A 22,187-nucleotide genomic window follows, 5' to 3' on the forward strand; every position below is an offset into this window, starting at 1 on the left:
CAGACAGGGTCTTGCTCTGTTGCCCAGGCTGGAGTGCAGTGGTGCAATGACAGCTCACTGTAGCCTTGATCTCCTGGACTCAAGCAATCCTCCTGCCTCAGCCTCCGGAGTAGCTGAGACCACAGGCATGTACTACCATGCCCAGTTTAGCCTAGAAATATTTTTTAAAATAAAGATTAAGTCAGGTATGTCATGAATGCATAAAAGTTACATAGTTACTACTCTATCATTTTCTACCATAAATTATGCACAAATTGGCTGGGCACAGTGGCTCATGTCTGTAATCCCAGCACTTTGGGAGGCTGAGGCAGGTGGATCACTTGAGGTCAGGCGTTCAAGACCAGCCCGGCCAACATGGCGAAACCGTTTCTACTGAAAATACAAAAATTAGCTGGGCGTGGTGGCACATGCCTATAATCCCAGCTACTTGGGAGGCTGAGACACGAGAATCACTTGATCCCAGGAGGCGGACCTTGCAGTGGGCCGAGACTGCACCACTGCACTCCAACCTTGGCAATAGAGCAAGACTCCATCTCAAAATTAAAAAAAAAGAAACCCACAAACTTATTATAAAAAGTTAAGATTGGCTGGGCGCGGTGGCTCACGCCTGTAATCCCAGCATTTTTGGGAGGCCAAGGTGGGCGGATCATCTGAGGTCATAAGTTCAAAACCAGCCTGGCCAACACGGTGAAACCCCATTTCTACTAAAAATACAAAAAATTAGCCAGGCGTGGGTGGTGGGTAATCCCAGCTACTCAGGATGCTGAGACAGGAGAATCGCTTGAACCCAGGAGGCGGAGGGTGCAGTGAGCTGAGATTGCACCATTGCGCTCCATCCCGGACAACAAGAGCGAAACTCCATCTCAAAAAAGAAAAAAAAAAAGTTAACATTTATCAGAACCTATGTAATGTACACACTTACGGACTGTACATGATACCATTCGAAGCCAAAGAAAATGTAAACGAATGTCAAGATGCAGTATTAAATAACTGCATATAATTAGCTGTAGTATATACTGTACTGCTGTAATAATATCATGGCCACTTCCTGTTGCCATTGCAGTGAGCCCTAGTGTTGTAAGCATCTGCTTAAAATGCCATGTGGTACTAATAATCTCTGTGTGAGCAGTTCTTCTCTCCAGTAAATTGTGTAACACAGTAAAAAGTGATCTCTTTAGCTGGCACAGTGACGTGAACGTATAGTCCCAGCTACTCGGGAGGCTGAGTTGGAGGACTGCTTGGGCCCAGGAGTTTGAGTCCAGCCTGGACAACATAGCAAGATCCTGTCTCTAAAATAATAACAACATAATTTTTTAAAAGTGATTTCTTGTGGTTCTCATGTATTTTTCATCATGTTTCGTGCCATACCATAACCTTGTATAACACCATGGGACCCATATGAAATGTAATGCTGGAAGTGCTCCCAAGTAGAGAAAAGTCATGACATTGTAAGAAAAACATGAATTGCCTGACATGTACCATGGGTTGAGGTATGCTGCTGCGGTTGCTTGCCTTTTCAGACAGACTACTCATCTTGTAAACAGATTATGTAGAGTATCAATACAGTACAGTACTGTAAATGTATTTTCGCTTCCTTAAAATTTTCTTAACATTTTCTTTTCTGTAGCTTACTTTATTGTAAGAATATAGTGTAATACATATAACATAGAAAATATGTGTTAACCAACTGTTTATGTTATCAGTAAGGTTTCTGGTCAACTGTAGGCTATTAGTAGTTAAGTTTTGGGGGAGTCAAAAGTTACATGTGGCATTTTGATCGTGCAGGGGGTTGGCATCCCTGAGTTGTTGAAGGGTCAACTGTACTGTTTTTTCCTATGCATACATACCTATAATAAAGTTTAATTTATAAATTAGGCCCAGTGAGGGAGTAATAACTAATAATAGGACAATTACAACAATATACTGTAATAAAAGTTATGTGAATGTAGTCTTTCTTAAAATATCTTACTGTATGTAATATTTCCGGAACACAACTGACTGGGAGAAACTGTAACTGTGGATAAAGGCGACAACTATATAAAAAAGAGAGGAAATGGAGAAAGGCCCCTAAGAAGGATGGAAGGAATGGGATCTAAAGCACACACAGAGGGATGGGCCTTCATAGGAGGCAAGGTCATCCAAGAAAAGTTGGGAATAAAGAGATTAATGGAGGTTTGAGGAAAACAGAGAAGGTTTAAAAATACAGTTGTAAAGAATGGGCTCATGAAAAATCACTGTAAAATTTCCAGGCAACATTAAGACCAATTAAAGGTACTAAGTGTGAACCTAGAGTGGTATCAATTTTCTTTTGTTGTTTTCTACAAGTACTCAGCTGTCTGACTGCAGACACTGTGAAGGCAGAAAAAAAGATTTCAATCAGGGTTGAAATTTTGCCAGACCAAGTGCTATCACAGGGCAGGAGCAAGAGTTTAGAGTACATGCAAGAAAGTAACTGTATGATGGATCACAGAATCTATGCTGGAAAGAGAGGGAAGTGAAGACAGGATGGGGTAAAGAGTGGAAGGTCAATGAATTGGAAATTCCAGTTAGGTCAGAGGACAGGTGAAGTGGGAGTACTTGAGTAAGCAAGCTGGAAAGTTTGGGAAGTTGTGGTCAGAGACTGAGATGTAAAAAGTAGTGACTTGGGGGAGGGACGACTTCAAATATTGATAATGCCTAGGGTATGGCTGTGGAGGTGGAAAGCTAAGGTAAACTGGAAGAAAAAGTCATTGACAATGAATTTAAAGAACAAATCATGAACTTGGGTTCTCAAGGAGCTTATAAACTCTATGGGAAACATGAGAAAATTAGGGAAATAACATGTCTATACAATTAAGTGCTAAACTGTGGTTTAAAATTGTGTAATTTTGATTTACATGACATAAACCATATATAAATCAAATCAAAATCAAAACTTTGATGAACATGTAAAAATATAAAAGGTAGCCAGTGGTCAGTTATACATATTATTCAGTAACTACTTTACAATGTATTAGCTAGAACATGATCTAACTGAATAGAAAAAGAAACACTAGTTAAAAAAAAAAAACTAACGAGGATATTTTTAACCTCTTATCAGTCTAACTATTTACCTCAAATTAGAAACTGCAGTCATCTACATACCTGAAATACAAATTTAAGTTAAGAGCAACTGCGGAGTTGGAGGAGCTGACAATCACTGCAACATCGAGGTCTTGAGAAACTTTCAGTGAAGTAAATGAAGAAATCTTGGCTGGCTCCTGTTGCTGCTCATTACACATGTCTTCTTTGTGAAGTGCTAAATCCACATGAGCTACATATGTACCATCCACAACATCAAAAATGTCTTTTAGTTAGAGTTAAAAGAAAATGCCAGTTTTGTAAGTATGCCTAACTATTTAAAGCACAGGTTGGGAAAGAGCTATAGACTTTATCACTCCAATTTTGTAGGTATAACAGAAGAAGACTGAAAACTGAGGCAAGCCCCCATTATAACAACCAGATGACTATGAAGTTGATGCCACAATAAAGAACCTGATACCAAGTTCTTCAACAATACCTGCTGAACATCTGCTCTGGGCCAGGCCCAGAGGCACTGCTATTTTCCAACAGCACTGGCCAAGAGATGAGGTAAACCTACTATTTTATGTAACCCAATACTGTCTATCCAAAGTATTATCAACATGCAGTCAGTATAAAAACTGAGACATTTTATGTTTTTTCTTCTATAAATGTTCAAAGTCTGATATTTTACTTAGAGCACATCTTAATTTGCATACTAAATTTTCATCAGAAATACCTGATCTGTATTGAGACTTCATAAAATTTAAGGTTTAAAGTTGGAACAACTAAAGTTGTAACAAACATCCTTAAAAGTTCTCCAATGACTGAACTGAGTATCAGCTTTTAAATCTAAAGTAACAAAAATTAGCTGGGCGTGGCGGCCCATGCCTATAGTCCCAGCTACTCGGGAGGCTAAGGCACGAGAATCGCTTGAGCCCAGGAGGCAGGGGTTGCAGTGAGCCGAGATCACGCCACTGCACTCCAGCCTGGGTGAGAGTGAGACCCTGTCTCAGGAGAAGAAAAAAAATCTAATTACACAAAATTAAAAATTCGGTTCCCAAGTTATGCTAGCCAATTTCATATGCTTAATAGCCACATACGCTTAGTGCCTACTGTTCTGGACAGTGCAGTTCCATAACCTGGCAACAATAATTGTTAATTTAGGATTTATGACACTTTTGCAAAAATTATATACCTATTACAAAATATAAAAACCATTATTTTAATTCAGAAATTAAAGTTCCAAAATCATATAAGGGGTAATTTGTCAAATCTTCAGAATAATTTTGCTGATGACCAACAGATCTACTGGAGACAAAGAACCCATAATATTTTCTAAGATCAAATTAACGTGGCAAAGCAAACATTTATTAATATGATGGAAACATCATTAGAGACAAGAGGTAGACTATATTTATACATGAAAAGACATGTATCACAACATAAGCTTTTTTTTTTTTTTTAAGACAGAGTCTCAGTCTGTTGCCTAGGCTGGAGTGCAGTGGTACGATCTTGGCTCACCACAACCTCCACCTCCCAGGTTCAAGCAATTCTCCTGCCTCAGCCTCCCGAGTAGCTGGGATTACAGGCATGCACCACCACGCCTGGCTAATTTTTTTGTATTTTTAGCAGAGACGGGGTTTCACCATATTGGCCAGGCTGGTCTCGAACTCCTGACCTTGTGATCCGCCCACCTCGGCCTCCCAAAGTGCTGGGATTACAGGCGTGAGCCACCGCACCTGGCCACATAAGCACATAGTAGATATTCAAGAAATACATTTTGAATAAACAGGTAATGCAGAGAATATACAATTTTAAAAGAACACAGATATGTATGGTTAATACTATTAAAAATGTATATACTGGAAAATATTCAACTAAAATATAAAGCAATATACAATTTAGTATTTTAAGTTTATGAGGATCTTTTTCCATGAAAAGTTTTACTGAAAAACTAACCACACTTCCTATATCCCAGCTCCCAAAACTAAAGCCTAAAAAGGCTCATCTTTATAGGTGTTCTTCTCCTCTACGTATCAATCAACACTTCTACCACCAAGGATACAGATCCAGCCTAAACTACTCAAAACAAAAAGAATTCCTCTGCAGAGCTGCGTGTCAATAATCATGTCCACTGCCTGTGCAGGCAAGGGAAGTGTGAAACAGTTGAGTACTCTAATTGCAGCATCTCTTTCAGGAAATATAATATGTAGGATGACACATTTGTTGATGAACAGTAATGATGTGTTATTGTGAAATGACAGGATTCTCAAAGACAATAAGGAAATACCTACAAAACAAAAGGATATTATTTCAAACTCATTGGTCACAATTTTACAACTGGTACATTTGATTTGATAAACCTAATACAAAAAAGTAAAACAAAAAAGGAACTGGACTTAGTCTAACTTTACGCAGTTATCGTTCACACCCACCTAAGGAAGTAGTCACTGGGAGGTAGGTAAGAGGATGACTAAAGATGGCCTACAATGTCCCTGATTCCATTTATGCTAGTCTGACAGCACACTAGAAGGAGTATTCAAAAAAGCCAACTTACCCATGGGACCCCATAAGAAGACTTTTTCTTTTTTTAAAAGAAAAAAAGAAGAAACCTTATAATCAAGGGTGAAGAGTATGTTACTGCTTTAAAAATAGAGGCCTGAGTGCTTTGATTTCTGCTCCCGGCAGTCAACAGCTCTATAAGCAGTCTAGATCAGCACTGTCCAATAGAAATATAATGTGAGCCACATACATGACTTAAAATTTTCTAGCAGGGGTGGCTCACACCTGTAATCCCAGCACTTTGGGAGGCCCAGGTGGGCAGATCACTTGAGGTCAGGAGTTTGAGACCAGCCTGGCCAACATGGCGAAACCCTGTCTCTACTAAAAATATAAAAGTTAGCTGGGCGTGGCGGCGGGCGCCTGTAGTCTAAGCTACTCAGAAGGCTGAGGTGGGACAATCAGTTGAACTGGGGAGGCGAAGGTTGCAGTGAGCTGAGATGGCACCACTGCACTCCAGCCTGGGTGACAGAGCGAGACTGTCTCAAAAAAATAAAATAAAATAAAAATAAATAAATAAAATTTTCTGGTAGCCACATTGAAACAGGTGAAATTAATTTTAATAATATACATTAGCTTATATTCAAAGTATTTCATATTTTGAAATGTAATTAAATACAAAAAATTGAGATATTTTATTTTTAGTATTAAGTCTTCAAAATCTAATATGTATATGACACAAAGTACATCTTAATTCATATTAACCATATTTCAAGTGCTCAATAGCCCCATCTGCCTAGTGACTACTATATCAGACAGCGTAGACCTGATTTCACCTCTATGACTTTTCCTGAAGTATGTAACTACATGGTAATGTCACAAATTTAAATATGCTGAAAGACCACCTGTAGATACTTACTGATATCTTGATCGTCAATGAGCTTTTGCAATGCCTCCCTACTACAGCTATACAAAATGGTTGCATCACATCTTCCATCTTTCAAATTAAATTCATAGATAAGCAGTTCATAATTTTCACCAAGAGCGAGCAGTTTGGGCTTTTCAGTTGGTGTGCTGCTGTTACGAGAATCCTCCCATAGAAAGCTAAGAAAAAAAGTTTAGATTTATTATATTCTATATCCGCAATAATATTTACCCACAATGGTGGGGGTAGAAGGGTTGAATAAGTAGAGAACAGTTTAGTTGACCTGGTATAGTCATTCTACACTTCAATCTAAGAGAACATAAACTGCTCTAGGACCTCCCTCCTCTTCCCGCTTCCCTTTTACACCAACACGAAAATACAGGAGTGGGTGGTAAAAAACAAAAATGTGGGGCTCAGAGCAAGAAATGATGGCTCCATTTATTCTTTCATCTTTAATCCCAACTAGTATGTTTAAACAAACTGTCATGATCAAGGGTAGGTATCAACAACAAAATATGTATATTATTTATATGAGGTGGTATTCACAATAAAATAGGCTTTTGATAACTTAAATGTTTTGACTTTTAAAAGAAAGTGATTATTTGTATTTATAGACTGACGATTCCAAATCTTGAAAAACTCTGCCTAATAGAACCTTCCGTGATGGAAATGTTTTATATTAGCATTGCCCAATACAGTAGTCAATAGCCACATGCAGCTACTGAACACTTGAAATGTGGGGCAACTGAGGAACCAAATTTTTTACTTTAACAGCCACATGTAGCTAATGACTACCATTACTAAACGGTAGAGTTACGGAATTCTTAAACTGAAATGTCAAAATAACAACACTGGCAAGACTGATGGTGTTTCAGCTTCAAATTAAATATTAAAACTAAATTACACATTACAAATAAAAGCCCCAGATTTGAAAATAACACAATGAAAGAGGTGAGGCTATACCATGCTGATAAAATTTCATCTTTTAAGAAACTTGCTTCTACAGAAGTAGTGTTTTATACTTCTAGAGTAGTATATAAAACTACTGTGGTACATACATGATTTAATTCAATTAGTAATAAAACTAATAAGAGTACATAATAGTATTATGTACTATTATGTATTTTATACTACTATAGTAGTTTTATACTATTATAGTATTAATATGTCCTTATTAGGTAAAAAAAAGACATTTTTCTGACTGTTCATATTGATAAATGTAGAAAATAACCTAAATGTCAAATATACAAAAGGTTAAACTAAGATATACTTAAAAGGTAGAGTACATCATTAGCATAGGGACAATATTGCCACATGGAAAGACAGGAAATTTTCAATGCAATAAACAAGATATATGATGTAATTTCAACAATATTAAAAAGACCTATGTACTTTGAAAAAGTAGGAAGTAAACTCTAAATACTATAAACATGCCCTTATTTTTAACCTATGAAGTATTTTAACTGAATTAAAATTCAATTCAACTAAAAAAGTTAAAAAGTCCTTTCTTGGTCCTCCTCCCCTCTAATTTCATGAACTAGCATATGAACGCCCCCTTTATTTCATCTCGGTCTTACCTTCCCTGCTGGGTTCTCAAACACCTAAAGATTTCGGCTTTTCTTTGCCCCATTCCTCTCTTTACAGAGCCACATTCATAGGTACTTGATACTGCTAAATAAACTAATTTCCCCTAAACTAGTTTATAAATAACTTAGTTTATAATAAGTTTATAAACTAAACGCAGAGATTCCTCTTTCGAGCAACTAGACATCAAGGGTAGAGAAGACAAACCCAGAAGAGTTAAGCATTCACTGATGTATCAAATGAATCTCTAAATGTCAGGAGCTGTTAGAGGAGCTGGAGATTCCAAGATTAATAAGACACCTTTTGGCTACTCATCTTAAAGAAAGAGTTGTGAAAATACTTACTATTAATAATTATTAAAAGAACAGGTCAGGCTCAGTGGCTCACACCTGTAATCCCAACACTTTGGCAGGGAGAGGCGGGATCACTTGAGCCCAGGAGCTTGAGACTAGCCTAGGCAACACAGTGAGACCTCATCTCTACAAAAACTAGAAAAATTAGCCAGGCCTGGTGGTGCACGCCTGTAGTCGTAGCTGCTGGGGAGGCTGAGCCCGGGAGGTCAAGGCTGGCTGCCGTGAACCGTGACTGAGCCACTACACTCCAGCCTGGGCGACAGCGACCTTATCTTTAAAAAAAAAAAAAAAAAAAAAAAAGCAGCAGCCCACTCAAAACACTAAGAGGGCGTTCCCAAACTTTATGATGTAAACTCTTAAGTACTGAACCAAGAGTTACGGAAGTACAAAGTAATGCATTATTGTAATCATGTTTGTCTTCCCCAAACATGCGCGCCTCGCAAGAAAGAAGTGTCTTACTCAACTTTTTAGGCACTGCTCCTATGTAACAGCAAGCACACAATATTTGCTGAATAAATGAAGGGACAAACTGGACTCTGTCCTTGAAGAAGAGGACTACATGTGAAAGAAAACGCTATTCACTTCAAGGACATGAAAAAAGTATCAGGATGATTCAAATTAGAGATGATCCTCAGCTGGCATCTTTAACTGAAAGAAATGGGCATGGGACTCGACCCTGTGACAGTTAATCAACCTGTGTTGAATAATGAAAGAATCAGCGCCTCAGCTGAGACCCGTTCCGGGTTCGCCGCAGGTGGCAATGGAGCTGGGTGCCGTCTCCGCCCACCCGGAACAGGAGAGCTGGGCTGCCAGAATGCAACGAGGCGAGCGTTTCAGGTCGGGGGAAAGGTTCTGTGAGGAAACCACGCTCGCCTCTGGGGCGTTTCCTGCAGCTGGCACCCTTCTCCCGCCACCTCTATGGCTGCAGGGAGGCCTCGGCGTGAGCCCTTGGGGCTCAGTCAGCCGAGCCTAGGCTCTGGACTCCCCCAACGGCCCAACTCTCCCTCAGCACTTACTGCCAGAAGGGGCCCTCCAGGCAGCAGCGACCCCCGCCCCGGCTGCCAGGCGTCAAAGAAAGCACTTGGAGGCTGCCCGCAGCCGTCAGGCTCCCCAGAGCCTCCGGCTGTGTGCGCAGCTGCGCCCGGGAGCCGAGCTGCCCCATCGCCTCGGCGGGGACTGGCACCAACAGCATCGGTAGAACCCGCCCCATGGCCGCGGTGCCCCAGCTACCGCCGGCGGAAGCAGCACTCGCGACCCCTTCCTCTGCAGCCATCTTGGCCCGGCGGTTACTTCCGGTCACTTTCGCCGGAACCTGACTGCGTCGTGGGCATGCGCGGTGTACGTAGCGGCTCCCGCTCGGCCTCGTGACTCCCGCGGAGACCTCTCGGCTGTCTCCGGTCGATTCCATTCGTTTCCTGTGGGGGGCAGTACCAGCCTCTCTAGCAAAGCCACATCTGCCCTGACGCCAGTCCCACTCTGCTTAACTGCTCTGGCATGCTTGAAGGCCTAGCTTAGCGTAGCAGGCCGTTGCAGCCGTTCTCGCTCTGTGGCATTGCTCTTTGCCTTCTTGGTCCAGCTGCCTCCAGCTCCCTTGGAACCCAGTTCCTGCCTCTTTTCTTCGCTTTTCTTATTGTGCTGTTCGCTTACAGGCTCTGGGGTGGTGCCATTTCCTTGGTAGCATGGACCGTCTTACAGTGTGGATCCATAGTAAGGGTGTTGACCCGAAATTTGAAGTCAAATAATATCCATTGTAACAGTCAGAGAGACGGGGTAAGTAAGGGGTGGAGATGGTAGAGAGCTCCTGTCTGTTTTCTCAGGGAAGTATGATCCAAGATCAAGAGAAGGAGAGGAGCAAAGAGTTTGAGGTGAGAAGAGGGGTTGAATAGGTATTTTGGTAAAGTCTCCTAAAAGACAACTGTACCTTCTTAACACATCTTCCACATTCAGAACATTTCAGCATAAATGTAACCTCTATTGACAGGCCTCCCCAAGCCATTCAACCTAAGGTCCCTTCTACTGCAGTCTCTCACCTAGTTTTGTTTTTAATCATAGTATTTATCACTACTTGATATTTTCTGCCAGTTCCTGTCCAATAAGAATGTAAACTTCAAAAGAGCAAGGACTTTGTTGCTCACCACTGTCCTGGCTAGTACCTAAAACAGTGCATGTTTCATGAAAGGTACTCCCGCATTTGTTGATCAATGCATGACCTTATTTGTCAAAATAAAAGCAAACTTTTTTTTTCTTTTGAGATGGAGTCTCGCTTTGTCACTCAGGCTGGAGTGCAGTGGCGGGATCTCGGCTCACTGCAACCTCCGCCTCCTGGGCTCAAGCAATTCTGCCTCAGCCTTCCCAGTAGCTGGGATTACAGGCGCACGCCACACCCAGCTAAATTTTTGTATTTTAGTAGAGACGGGGTTTCACCATGTTGGCCAGGCTGGTTTCGAATTCCTGACCTCCGGTGATTTACCTGTCCCAGCCTGGAAGTGCTAAGATTACAGACGTGAGCCACCGTGCCCAGCTGAAACCAAACGTTTTCTATCACAAGGGAGATATATTCAACCTTCTAAGCTTAGCTGGGGCTGTGTTCTTTCTGTAAAAAATGGCAACGTTAAAGCAATTTCTAAGGTTACACTTGTGTTAGCTACAACAAAGCCTTGTCCCTTATAATCAGGACAGTCTTCTCATGCCTGTAAATCCCAGCACTTTGGGAGGCCAAGTTGGGAGGATCACTGGAGCCCACCCTTGCCAACATAGGGAGACCCTTGTCTCTACAAAAAAAATCAAAAAAAATTTTTTTTGAGAGTTTTGCTCTTGTTGTCCAGGCTGGAGTGCAATGGCACAGTCTTGGCTCACTGCAACCTCTAACCTCTGCCTCCTGGGTTCAAGCGATTCCCCTGCCTCAGCCTCCGAGTAGCTGGGATTACAGGCGTGTGCCACCATGCCTGGCTGATTTTGTATTTTTAGTAGAGACGCGGTTTCTTCACGTTGGTCAGGCTGTTCTCAAACTCCCGACCCTCAGGTGATCTGCCCACCTCGGCCTCCCAGAGTGCTGGGATTACAGGCATGAGCCACTGCACCTGGCCAAAAAAAATTTTTTTTTAATATTAGCTGGGTGTGGTGTCACATGCCTATAATCCAAGCTACTCAGAAGACTGAGGTGGGAGGATCACTTGAGCCTGGAGGTCAATGCTGCAGTAAGCCATGATGGTGGCACTGCACTCCCACATGGGTGACAGAGTAAGACCCTGTCTCAAAAAAAAAAAAAAAAAAAAAAAGAAAAAGGACATTCCTGGAGCACTCACACATAGGATAGCCTTCATTACAGGTTTTAACTTACAAGCAAGTTCCAACACATCATTCTATTATCTCTTTAATTATACCTTATTATGCCATGTCTTATTTTTAGGCACATCATTTAGATTTTTGAAGAAAGGATATGAAAATGGGGAAGGGTTCTCCAATATATAAAGGCATAAGAAATGTCTTCAGACTCTCTGGATCCCTGTAAACATAGTCTATGTAGCTAGTGTCTGATGATTCAACTTCCCACATACACGTATTCCAGAACAAACAGATCAGTAAATCCAGGCAAACCTATAAAGAGAACAGATATTAACTGCAAGCACAATTCTACTTTGCAAGTATTTATATGATTTAATTAGTATCTGACTCTTTCTAGCAGTAATTCTGAGGACAGAGATGACCATGTTATTCATGCTTATATCCTAGAATAGTTGTCCCTCAAGTATTTCTTGAATGAATAATTCAGGTTCTTAAATTAATTCTTGCCCTCAAATAGGTTAGCACTATAAATGACCAAAGCACCTGGAATAAAAGGTTGGCTGAAGACTTAGTCAAGAATGGTTACTCAGTAAATGTCAGTGTGTAGAACCACTTCTAAAAACACATGATCCTTCATGCTCATAATTTAGAAGAAGGAAGTAGTGAAGCAAGTAACAGAACATAGATTGGGCTTGAACAAGGGGCTTTGACCTTGTTTCTGCCATTACTTACTCCATCCTGGCCTCCAGCTGCTGAACCAATTGTTTGTCCACGTGGTGACAGAACAGGGGAAGTAGGTTGCTGGGGAAAGCTAGGGGTTCTGCCAGAGAGGCTGTAGGCATTTGGGCTATCTCCCAGGCAATCAGAACCACCATGTCTGTCCTAGAGAGCATAAATATAAATATAAGCAAATAGATTTGCTTAAGAAACAGACTCAGGGCCAAGGTTTCTTATTATCTTTCCGTTACTACTACCATTGTCCCCCACCCCCAGGTAGCAATTCAGAGGTAACATTTGCATGTTTGGTACGTGCCAAGCAATGCTTAGTGCTTTACACATTTCCCTTCCTATTTAATCTTAAGAACTATGAGGGGTTAATACCATCATCCCTAGTTTGTAGATAAAGAAACAAACTAAGAGAAGTGAGAAGTGAAAGAACTTGCCCTAAAGTTATATTGCTAGTAAGTGATACAGCCAGAATTCAAACGTAGGTCTTTTTAAAATCTAAAGCTTGTCCCCTTAGGTACTATGTTATACTGCCTCCTAGAAGAAACCGAAACTCTAGGGCACTATAGAAAAAAAGCAGAACAGCTACAACACTGCTACTACTTTCTCTATCCAACCTCTTCCTCAGTACTTGAAAATGCCTCAGGAAATACTTCACCTGGCTCAGTCTGCACATCCCGAGGGTACTAGATAGTATTTACAAGGCCTTTATGATCTTACCAAGCTGTATGGTCACTGTTGGGTTCCTCTAGGGAAGAATGCAGCGATACCAGTTGCTCCCCATGGCTCAGCAGGGCATAGAGCAAAGATATTCCAAACTGCAAGGGACATATATATATTCCAGAGCAAAATGAGTTCACACTCGGCATTTGGTGCTTTCCTGACTCTTATCTTCCCAACTAAAGGACAGGTTCACATTTAGAGATAGAGCTCAAAATATCCACAAGTGCTGTCAGGTTTTACACTGGTGAGCCAAAGAACTCTCTAACCCTTTCCATAGGAATCACTGCTCTGAACTTTTCCAAAAGACACTCTTGGAGAGCTGATTAAATGCATACTTCTAGGCTTAACTCCTAGGAGTAGGAGATCGGGAATGCATCCAGGAATCTGAGGCAGGTAGTCTGTGGACCCCACTTTAAGAGGCACTTCTTTAAGCAAAGACCTTCAGTATGGCATACATGAGATAACCCACTGGGATATTAGAAGAGAGCATCAAAATTTTCACATCTAGAGTCTCATTCTTTAAAATTTTCTGTCTTTTATTATATACCTATTGGCTGGGCGCAGTGGCTCATGCCTGTAATTCCAGCACTTTGGGAGGCCGAGGCAGGCGAATCACTTAAAGTTAGGAGTTCAAGACCAGCCTGGCCAACATGGTGAAACCATGTCTCTACTAAAAATACAAAAATTAGCTGGGTGTGTTGGCGAACACTTGTAATCCCAGCTACTTGGGAGGCTGAGGCAGGAGAATGGCGTGAACCCAGGAGGCAGAGCTTGCAGTGAGCCAAGATCGTGCCACTGTACTCCAGCCTGGGTGACAGAGCGAGACTATCTAAAAAATAAAAAAAGAAAATATTTATTATGTACCTATTATTACTAGTGTTACATGTATTTGATTTATAAACACATGGGTAGTGTGGTTTAGAATATTTTTTTACTGAAAGGGGTATACAAGAGTTTGGAGACCTGCTTTAGAGACTCACATCAGCAGCAATCAGGGAGCTTATTAGAAAAGCAGAGCAGGTGCATGGGCCCCACCCCAGACCTACTGAATGACTGAGTGGGACCAAGGAGCTGGGTTTAATAAGCTTCCAGGTGATCATGTGCTTACTAGAAATAGAGAAGCACTGCAGAGGATAAGATTTGTGTAGAGATGAGACTGTCCCCCAACTTACCCCTTATCAGTGATACCAACCTGAAAGCCATCTATGGAAAAAAGCCTCCTAGACATGTTACCTGATTCTGAAGCACCACGGTGACTGGCCGCTCTGAGGAGCCAGGTGGCAACAGCGTTAATCCCTGAAGTCCTTGGAGGAGTTCGTGGAGGGTCAAGTGACTAATACATTTGCCCAGAGGTTTGAATAACATTTGTAGGGCCTGCAAGAAGATCAGTAAGCACCTCCCAAATTCCACTACAACTTCACCTCCCCTTACCTTGCTTCCACAGTCCCTTCCCTCGCTGACCTGTCTTTGGCACGTCCTGGTGAGGTTACTTACCAGGCTTATCACCACTATGACTCTCCATCCCCAACACTGACACCTTCGGTACCTACTTGTCCTAGGAATCCTTCTCTAAGAAAAGTAGATAGGGGCTCAACATTTATCAGGGCGTCCTAATCTTTTACTCAGACCTCCTCAGCACACTGACACCTGTGCAACCATACACCTGTTGCTTTTTGTTCGTCATACCTGAAGATGATCCACTGTTCCTATAATAGTTCTGTAACTTCCTTGCCTGAGGGTGGCAAGGCCAGCATCCCTCGCTGTGCCCAGCACCTTCTCTGGCATCTCTGGGGCATGTGGGGACTGGAGGGGAGGAATGACCCCTAACCTATTCAGGAGACCATCCTCTTCTCCACTCAATGCCACAGTACCTGATCAGCCACATCCCTCCGGACCAGGAGGGGCAGATGGTGGGTGATAGCCAAAAGAATGGTAACAGCCTGATCCTGGGGCAGGAAGGGGAGCAGCCGGGCCACCAGGGCCTTCCCCTTCCTCACAGAGAGCACCTGCAGGAAGCCATCTGCTGCCTCTCTGCAAGGGAGAGAGGAGAACATTTTCAGAGCTCTGCATAGAGGAGAGGGCTACATGCCACAAAGGAGAGGCAGAAGCAAGACCAGTGTCTTTGCTGCTCCTTCCCTTCCTGGGCTGAGGTGGAACCCTCCCACACTCACTCCAGGTTGTTCTGCTCCTGGGTCTTTAAGGTCTGGAAGAGCTTCTCAACCTGGTTGCTTTGCTGCTCAGAAAAGCAGGGCGGTGGAGGCCTATACTTCCAGCCTTCCTCTATTTCTAGTAACTGAAGGAACATCTGGGAATTTGAGGGTGGAAAAAAGAGGTAAATTTGGGTAATATCTCATTCTCAAAGGTAGGTTTGGAACTCGTCCCTAAGGAACTGATATCTCACCTTCTCAATCCGGTATAATACCCGAAGCCTCTGACTGCTTGCAGCTTCTATATCCTAGGAGAAGGGAGTCACCAGCTATCAGCTACACTGCCACTGCCACAGCCCTAGCCCAGGCCCCCAACTAGCTAGAGATTGAGCTGGAAAGGCTAGAAACAAAGTCTGATCACACTTCTTCCTCCTTCTTCGGTCACAGTCTTAAACACAAGAATGTTCTAGACCCTTCTTCCAAAGGGGAGAGAAAAATGTCTGGGAAGATAGTGCTCCCACCTGCTCTTGAGTTCCATGGGGTACCGCATCAATAGCTCGGCGAGGGCTGAAGCATGTCGACACAGCTACCTGGCCCAGGGAACCCTCGATTCGGACCACTGCATGAGAAGAGAGGCACATTTCCTTCCCCCTCCCACACTCTGTCCACCCAGATGCCCAGCCCAAGTCAGCAGGTCAGCCCTGACCCTACCGGACTCATAAGCCTCTGCCTTCGGAATGTAAGGCGTTACCAGCTTGAGGGACTCAACCCGGTTTCTTCGTCCAAGTAGCTCTTCGTCTGCCTGCTTCTTCTCTAGCTTCTGGTAATATTCCTGAGAATGCACGGAATAGGAAACAAAAAAACAAAACACCTTATATTCATCTTTTGAATTTAGAATTAAGTTTCTCAAGTGCAGCCTCTTAAGTTTAGTTTTTTTGTGTGTGTTATAAGTTTTGTTGTTTGAGACAGCATCTCCCTCTGTCACCCAGCTGGAGTGCAGTGGCGCAATCTCTGGCTCACTGCAACCTCCCTGGCTCAAGTGATCCTCCCACTTCAGCCTCCTCAGTAGCTGGGGCCACAGGCACGTGCCACCATGCCCAGCTAATTTTTGTATTTTTTGTAGAGGTGGGATTTCACCATGTTGCTCAGGCTGGTCTTGAACTCCTGGACTCAAGCAATCAGCCCTCCTTGGCCTCCCAAAGTGCTGGGATTACAGGCGAGCCATTGTGCCCAGACAAGCACGGCCTCTTAACACTCTTTCCTACAACAATCATTCCAGAAATGATGCTGGCACCTTAGGCCCTCCTTGCAGTTATTCTAAAGTGTCTTAAGCACCCTGGGCCCCACATCACCCATCTTGGAATTCACATACCAAATACTTAAAGACCAGATACCACCACCAAGTCTGATGAAAGGTCAGAGAGCAAAGTGGAGAGCCAGTGAGCAAACCTGTTCCAGCGTCTGTAACCTTCCTGCATTCCTCATGCTCTAGTACCCACACACTGCATACCACCTGTCCTCCCCACTTCCCCATTTAATCTTGTGATCTCACCTGTGCTTTCTAAAAATCAGTTATCTGATGGTATGAAGGCCATCCAGAGGTTTAAGCACAGAACTAGCTATAGGGAAGTGTTTGTCAGTTGCCCTCTAGGCCAGTTTTATACTTCTGTGGATTTGCTCAGCAGCTCTGACATTTTCTTAAAGTTGAGAAATCCTAAACTAAAATCCACTGACAAGCCAAACAAGGATTTGAAAAAGGCTCTTTTGTTTAGAAGCAATGCCAAAAAGGCAAGAATACAAAACTATTTCACTTTCAGTGACCCTCGCAGAAAAAGGAGGGCTTTTGAAGCTTGGTGGAAAGAAAGGAAAAATACCTAATGTAAATGAGAAGGCAATAAGGATGGGGCACTGGATGGGAGGCTCCCAGATGTTGAGGTGAAAGTGAAACAGCCAGCCGGGCGCGGTTGCTCATGCCTGTAATCTCAGCACTTGGGAGGCCGAGGCGGGTGGATCACTTGAGGTCAGAAGTTCAAGACCAGCCTATCCAACATGGTGAAACCCCATCTCTACTAAAAATACAAAAATTAGCTGCGTATGGTGGTGCATGCCTGTGATCCCAGGTACTTGGGAGGCTGAGGCAGGAGAATCACCTGAACCCTGGAGGTGGAGGTGGCAGTGAGCTGAGATGGTGCCACTGCACTTCAGCCTGGATGACAGAGGGAGACTCTGTCTCAAAAAAAAAAAAAGAAAAAGAAAGATAACAGCCTAGACAACCCAAAAACTTGTGGATAAAGACTTGCCCCATAAATAAAGGCAGAAGGAAGCAGGGGAAAATGAGTAAAAATATCTGCTGTCGTTCTTTCAATTAAACAAACTGAATCCCACTATTTATAACATCCCTGTGCTTTAGATCTAAAAAGTCAAAGTAGATGAATATAACAAGACATTTCTCAGCATACACAGGTGGGAAAATCCATATTTCCTGGGTGAACAGGGAAAATTCTTAGCAAAGAGTAGAGACAAAACCCAAGTGTGTTTGGGGAACTGGAAATAATCTTAGTTGGCTGAAATGTAGGAAGATAGAGAGAAATGAGTTTGGGATGTCAATTTTAGAAATACGGCCCCCATCCTGTAGTGATTCTCTCTCCCACCTGAACAGACATGACCTCTATGAGCCGAAGAGAGGATCAGAGCGGGCCCGGGAGTCCAGGCCCATTTGACCCAAGGTCAGAGGCTGGGCTGAGTACTGCGGGGCTCACCTGGTAATAGTAGTCATCCAGGCGGGGTTTTGCACTCTGCAGCTGCACCATCTGCACTTTTATCACCCAGTCCTTCTCTTTTCTGGTCATGAGGTTAGCATAGGGGTCTGGCTGCTGAGACCAAGGCTTCTTGGCTGGGGGACTTTAAGCCAGGAGGAACAACCCTTTAGACTTACCCACCACTGGCACTTCCTAAGGAGTGTGGTGAGCAGGAAGTGGGGCTCTCTGGGAAGGATGGAGCAAGCACAGAGGTGGGCAACAGTATGAGAGTTTTAACCACCACATGGGAGATTTGAGGGAGACAACTGGTCACAAGGGGAGACCCGGCATGCAAATGGGCTCCCCTCAACCCTGCTCCTGGTCTGGGCTTTACCTTGGTGTTTGACTATGCTGCTGCTGCTGCAAGATTCGTTGGTGCCGAGGGTGGAGCTGGGTCAGATGACTGGGAAGACAAGAAGTAACGAGCTGGGTGGAAGGAAGCTCTCAGTTCTCTGCCCCCTCCATTCATTCAGCCCAGGTCAGCTCTGATGGACATCTAAGGAACCTTATCTGTTTAGGTACTTTCCCAAAGTCAGCCACATGGCACATCATAGTCCTAGACCCACAGGGTTCCCAAGCTCCTCCAACATCTATTTTCCTGCAATTTGGCTGCAGGAAATCTTGGAACAGTAGAAAACATTTTGGCCTGGTCATCAGGAGTTCTGAATAGTAGTCTCAGTTCCATCATGCTACCTGATTGCAAATAAATTTTTATTTTTAATTTTTGAGACAGTCTCCCTCTGTCATCCAGGCTGGAGTGCAGTGGCATGGTCTCAGCTCACTGCAACCTCTGGCTCCTGGGTTCAAGTGATTTTCCTGCCTCAGCCTCCCAAGTAGCTGGGATTACAGGCGCTCGCCACCACGCCTAGCTAATTTTTGTATATTTAGTGGAGACACAGTTTCACCATGTTGGCCAGGCTGGTCTCGAACTCCTGGCCTCAAGTGATCCTCCCACCTTGGCCTCCCAGAGTGCTGGGATTACAGGTGTGAGCCACAGCACCCGGCTTTAAATAAATTTTTAATCTCCCTGGGGCTAATTTGTGAGGGAGACGGAATTAGACTATACCTCAGACTTCTCTTACTAGTTTTCTGTGTTTCCCTGTGGCAACTGGTAGGCATGGTCCCCGCCCCTCCTCAGCCAGCACCTCCTGAGACCTCTGGGGAGAACCTCAAACCAGTACCTGAACCTAGGGGGCCACGAGGTCAGCAGGCTGCAGAAGAGAGTTGGGTCTGGTGAGGGCAGCCGAGGTCCAAAGTGCTGTGCTGGAGAGCTGGTGCTGGGAAATGTAGGCCAGAAAGGGATGGGCGACAGGTAGTCCAAGGTCTGAGAGAGGAATTAAGAGGTCTGGGAGAACGCCATCTCCACCAAAAGAATGCTGCTCTTGTTGTGAGGGCTCAGTTCCTTTCCTACCTTTTCCCCTCAAGAACTTCACCCAACATTGTGCCATCTTGTGAGTCCCTCAAGGCAGCTTTGGGGGCACCAGACTATGGTTCCTGCCCTTGTTTCAACAGGGCTTGACTAGGAAGCAGCTCTTCATTCCCTGACAATGCAGGGTCATGTGCTTTTCCTACCATTTGGAAAGTCAACACTTCTCACCCTCCTCTCTATAATAGTCTTCTCTTGGGCTGTCTTCAGCCGCTGGGGCAGTACTCATCTGTCTTTTCTGACTCACTCAAAGCCCTCCTCAGAGCTCTTAATTCCTTCTAGTTCTCCCTGAAGGATATCCTGGTTCTTGAATTCCTCTACCCCAGGCCATGTTCCCATTACACAGTTAACTGCAGGGCAGGTGCTCTTTCCAGCTAAGCGCTGGCCATCTGCTGAAAGATTGCCTAAGGCAGGAGTAAGGGATCTAGTTTGTCCTTGTTCATACAAATGGCCAGTTGTCCCAGTACCACTTATTAAGGTGTCTATCCATGCCCCTGCTTGGGCACACCACCTCTGTCATTTATCAAGCTCCTCTATGATGGGGCAACTCCCACCTCCCACACCCATACCTCACTTTGGGTGCCTTAACTCCAGACCAGGGTTGGGGGTAGACTGAACATAATAGATGGAATCCTCACTACCCACAGTATGGAGACTGCAGCAGACTCACCTGCCACAGAAAATGCAAGGAGGCAAGTGACATTCCCAGCATACCAGGGGCCTTGACTCCAGGGGAGCTAAGCAGAGCTCTCTGGAACAGGAGGGAGGAAAAACCAGGCTCAAATGGGCCCCTGTAGTGTCTTCTGCATTCACCTGTGTTTTTGAGGTGGTGGGAGGAAGCAGCAAGACCAGGTGTTCCAACATCCAGGGCAGTGGCAGCTTGGCCCTCCCTCAGATTCAAAGTCAGCTGGGCCAGGATCCCTCTCCCTCTCCTGGGAGGAATAAGACTAGTGCAGTGGTCCTCCCTTATTCATGAGACATATATGTTCCGAGACCCCCAAGGGATGCCTAGAACTGGATAGTACTAAACCCTGTGTATAGTGCTTTTTTCTTATATATACATGCCTATGATAGTTTATATATATATTTAAAAAAAATTTTTTTTAGAGTCAGGGTCTTGCTCTGTCACCCAGGCTGGAGTGCAGTGGCACCATCATAGCTCACTGCAGGCTCAAACTCCTGAGCTCAAGCCATCCTCCTGCCTCAGACTTCTAAGTAGCTGAGACTACAGGCATGTGCTACCATATCTGGCTAATTTTTGAAAATTTTTTTTCTTTTTTTTTGTAGCGACAGGGTCTTGCTTTGTTGCCCAGGCTGGTGTGGAAGTCCTGGCCTCTAGCAACCCTCCCAAAGTGCTGGGATTACAGACATAAGCCACTGCCCCTGGCCAGTTTAATTTAAGAATTAGACACAATAAGAAATGAACAATAAAAATAGAACAGTTATAACAATATACTGTAATAAAAGTTATGTGAATGTGGTCTCTCTTAAAATACCTTATTGTACTATACTTGCCTATTTTCAGACTATAGTTGACCAAGGGTAACTGAAATGGCAGAAAGTGAAACCATGGACTACTGTACCTTAGTAGTAGGTTGAAGGAAGTTCTGAAATCACCTCATATCTACATAGGAGTCCTTGTCCTTCTCCACTAGTTATGGGATCCAGGGGAATAAATACCAGGAATGGACTACTGAGACAGAGGGGCCCAGGATCAGGCAAACGTGACTCACCTTTAACGCTAGTAGCAGGGCCACCGCCTGTGGGCGATGCACAGCTCTGCTAGGACCTGGTTTTAAGGCGAGAACAGCATCAGAAATGAAGTGGGAGACAGGAGAAAGAGGGAAGGAGAGAGTCCCTAACTCAAGTTCAAGGCTTAAAAAGAAAGTGTTAATCCAGAACTTGTCTTAGAAAAGGGTAGAAAAGAGAAGAGGAATGTTTAGTGACAGCCTGTGAGCCACAGACAGTTCAGGACAACCCTCTCCCATTCCCTTCTGCCATGGTACCTGGGTGTTGTGGACAGCACCAAGTACAGCTGGATCCCCAAGATCATTCTCTTCCTCCTCTAGGTCTGGGTCCAGATCTGGGTCCAGATCCTCCTCGTCCTCCTCCTCTTCCTCCTCCTCCCCTTCATTCTCTTCTTCTTTTTCCAACTGGCAGGCAGACACCAGCTCCTCCTCAGAAGCCAAGGGGCCACAGGTCTTACCTGGCCCTTGGTTTAAGTGTGGGCCAGAGGAGAAGGTAAGATGGGGCTCAGCTGTGAGTCTTGTCTAGAGAGGCTGCTACTCAATAGCACTTCTGTTCATAAGCCATCTCCAGCACCACCTTTGAACATAACGCCTCCTGTTCTGTGGGTTTAACTCGGCCTCCCTTCTCCCAAGGTGCCCCGAACCATCCCCCAGTAAGTCAAATGGAACCTGAGCCAGGTGTGGTGGCTCGTGCCTGTAGTCCCAGTTACTTGGGAGGCCAAGGCGGGAAGATCATTTGGGCCCAGGAGTTTGAGATCAGCCTGGGCAACACAGTGAGACCCTGTCTCTAAGTAAAAAATTTAAAAAGCAAACAAAAGGAACCCGGCAGATACCAAACACCTTCACTTTCACATCCCCTCTTCAATTCCTTCATTAAGTTCTAGCACAGCCTTTTCCATCTGCTCTGCCCCACCCAACGCCCTTTCTATTG

The 22,187-nt window shown here is 44.0% G+C and overlaps 2 protein-coding genes across 28 annotated transcripts in view, besides 7 other annotated features; both read right to left on the reverse strand.

Moving 5' to 3' along the window:
- The window catches only part of SPG11 (SPG11 vesicle trafficking associated, spatacsin), a 100,967-nt gene extending 91,276 nt beyond the window's left edge, over positions 1–9,691 (reverse strand). For 7 of the 8 annotated variants that reach the window (XR_001751402.2, NM_001411132.1, NM_001160227.2 and 4 more), the window contains exons 1-4: positions 9,420–9,691; positions 6,461–6,645; positions 5,108–5,332; positions 3,124–3,325 (exon numbers count right to left, since the gene is read on the reverse strand). Coding sequence is in view for 7 of the 8 variants with exons in the window: in NM_001411132.1 (NP_001398061.1) it covers positions 3,124–3,325; positions 5,108–5,332; positions 6,461–6,645; positions 9,420–9,676 (869 nt within the window). In the remaining variant the exon portion in view is untranslated. Of the gene's footprint in view, positions 1–3,123; positions 3,326–5,107; positions 5,333–6,460; positions 6,646–8,867; positions 9,386–9,419 lie in introns of those variants that run through there. The other variant, XM_047433144.1, reaches the window with a different exon arrangement.
- Positions 8,786–8,925: an enhancer, noted in NCBI's record as "active region_9342". NCBI's record gives its function as "activates an Ori minimal core promoter by ATAC-STARR-seq in GM12878 lymphoblastoid cells {active_cell/tissue: GM12878}" and the evidence as "EXISTENCE:reporter gene assay evidence [ECO:0000049][PMID:35858748]".
- Positions 9,035–9,991: an enhancer, noted in NCBI's record as "NANOG-H3K27ac-H3K4me1 hESC enhancer chr15:44955204-44956160 (GRCh37/hg19 assembly coordinates)". NCBI's record gives its function as "activates a minimal SCP1, AML or CMV promoter by ChIP-STARR-seq in primed H9 embryonic stem cells {active_cell/tissue: H9 hESC(primed)}" and the evidence as "EXISTENCE:reporter gene assay evidence [ECO:0000049][PMID:30033119]".
- Positions 9,466–9,945: an enhancer, noted in NCBI's record as "active region_9343". NCBI's record gives its function as "activates an Ori minimal core promoter by ATAC-STARR-seq in GM12878 lymphoblastoid cells {active_cell/tissue: GM12878}" and the evidence as "EXISTENCE:reporter gene assay evidence [ECO:0000049][PMID:35858748]".
- Positions 9,986–10,155: an enhancer, noted in NCBI's record as "active region_9344". NCBI's record gives its function as "activates an Ori minimal core promoter by ATAC-STARR-seq in GM12878 lymphoblastoid cells {active_cell/tissue: GM12878}" and the evidence as "EXISTENCE:reporter gene assay evidence [ECO:0000049][PMID:35858748]".
- Positions 11,761–22,187, reverse strand: part of PATL2 (PAT1 homolog 2) — a 45,659-nt gene continuing 35,232 nt past the window's right edge. For 5 of the 20 annotated variants that reach the window (XM_011521339.4, XM_011521338.4, XM_047432230.1 and 2 more), the window contains 13 exons: positions 21,515–21,720; positions 20,179–20,259; positions 19,264–19,406; positions 18,417–18,485; positions 18,044–18,185; positions 15,996–16,116; positions 15,806–15,903; positions 15,539–15,592; positions 15,309–15,442; positions 15,009–15,168; positions 14,371–14,511; positions 12,421–12,570; positions 11,761–12,000 (listed from right to left, as the gene is read on the reverse strand). In XM_011521339.4, coding sequence (XP_011519641.1) covers positions 11,818–12,000; positions 12,421–12,570; positions 14,371–14,511; positions 15,009–15,168; positions 15,309–15,442; positions 15,539–15,592; positions 15,806–15,903; positions 15,996–16,116; positions 18,044–18,185; positions 18,417–18,485; positions 19,264–19,406; positions 20,179–20,259; positions 21,515–21,720 — 1,682 coding nt within the window. In that variant the 3' untranslated portion in view covers positions 11,761–11,817. Of the gene's footprint in view, positions 12,001–12,420; positions 12,571–13,134; positions 13,233–14,370; positions 14,512–15,008; positions 15,169–15,308; positions 15,443–15,538; positions 15,593–15,805; positions 15,904–15,995; positions 16,117–18,043; positions 18,269–18,416; positions 18,486–19,263; positions 19,407–20,178; positions 20,260–20,321; positions 20,441–21,514; positions 21,838–22,187 lie in introns of those variants that run through there. The other 15 variants (NM_001387261.1, NM_001387263.1, NM_001387262.1 and 12 more) reach the window with 10 other exon arrangements.
- Positions 13,018–13,117: an enhancer, noted in NCBI's record as "active region_9345". NCBI's record gives its function as "activates an Ori minimal core promoter by ATAC-STARR-seq in GM12878 lymphoblastoid cells {active_cell/tissue: GM12878}" and the evidence as "EXISTENCE:reporter gene assay evidence [ECO:0000049][PMID:35858748]".
- Positions 18,401–18,470: an enhancer, noted in NCBI's record as "active region_9346". NCBI's record gives its function as "activates an Ori minimal core promoter by ATAC-STARR-seq in GM12878 lymphoblastoid cells {active_cell/tissue: GM12878}" and the evidence as "EXISTENCE:reporter gene assay evidence [ECO:0000049][PMID:35858748]".
- Positions 21,699–21,748: an enhancer, noted in NCBI's record as "active region_9347". NCBI's record gives its function as "activates an Ori minimal core promoter by ATAC-STARR-seq in GM12878 lymphoblastoid cells {active_cell/tissue: GM12878}" and the evidence as "EXISTENCE:reporter gene assay evidence [ECO:0000049][PMID:35858748]".

The sequence above is a fragment of the Homo sapiens genome, chromosome 15 (assembly GCF_000001405.40).
Source record: "Homo sapiens chromosome 15, GRCh38.p14 Primary Assembly".
Classification (NCBI taxonomy): domain Eukaryota; kingdom Metazoa; phylum Chordata; class Mammalia; order Primates; family Hominidae; genus Homo; species Homo sapiens.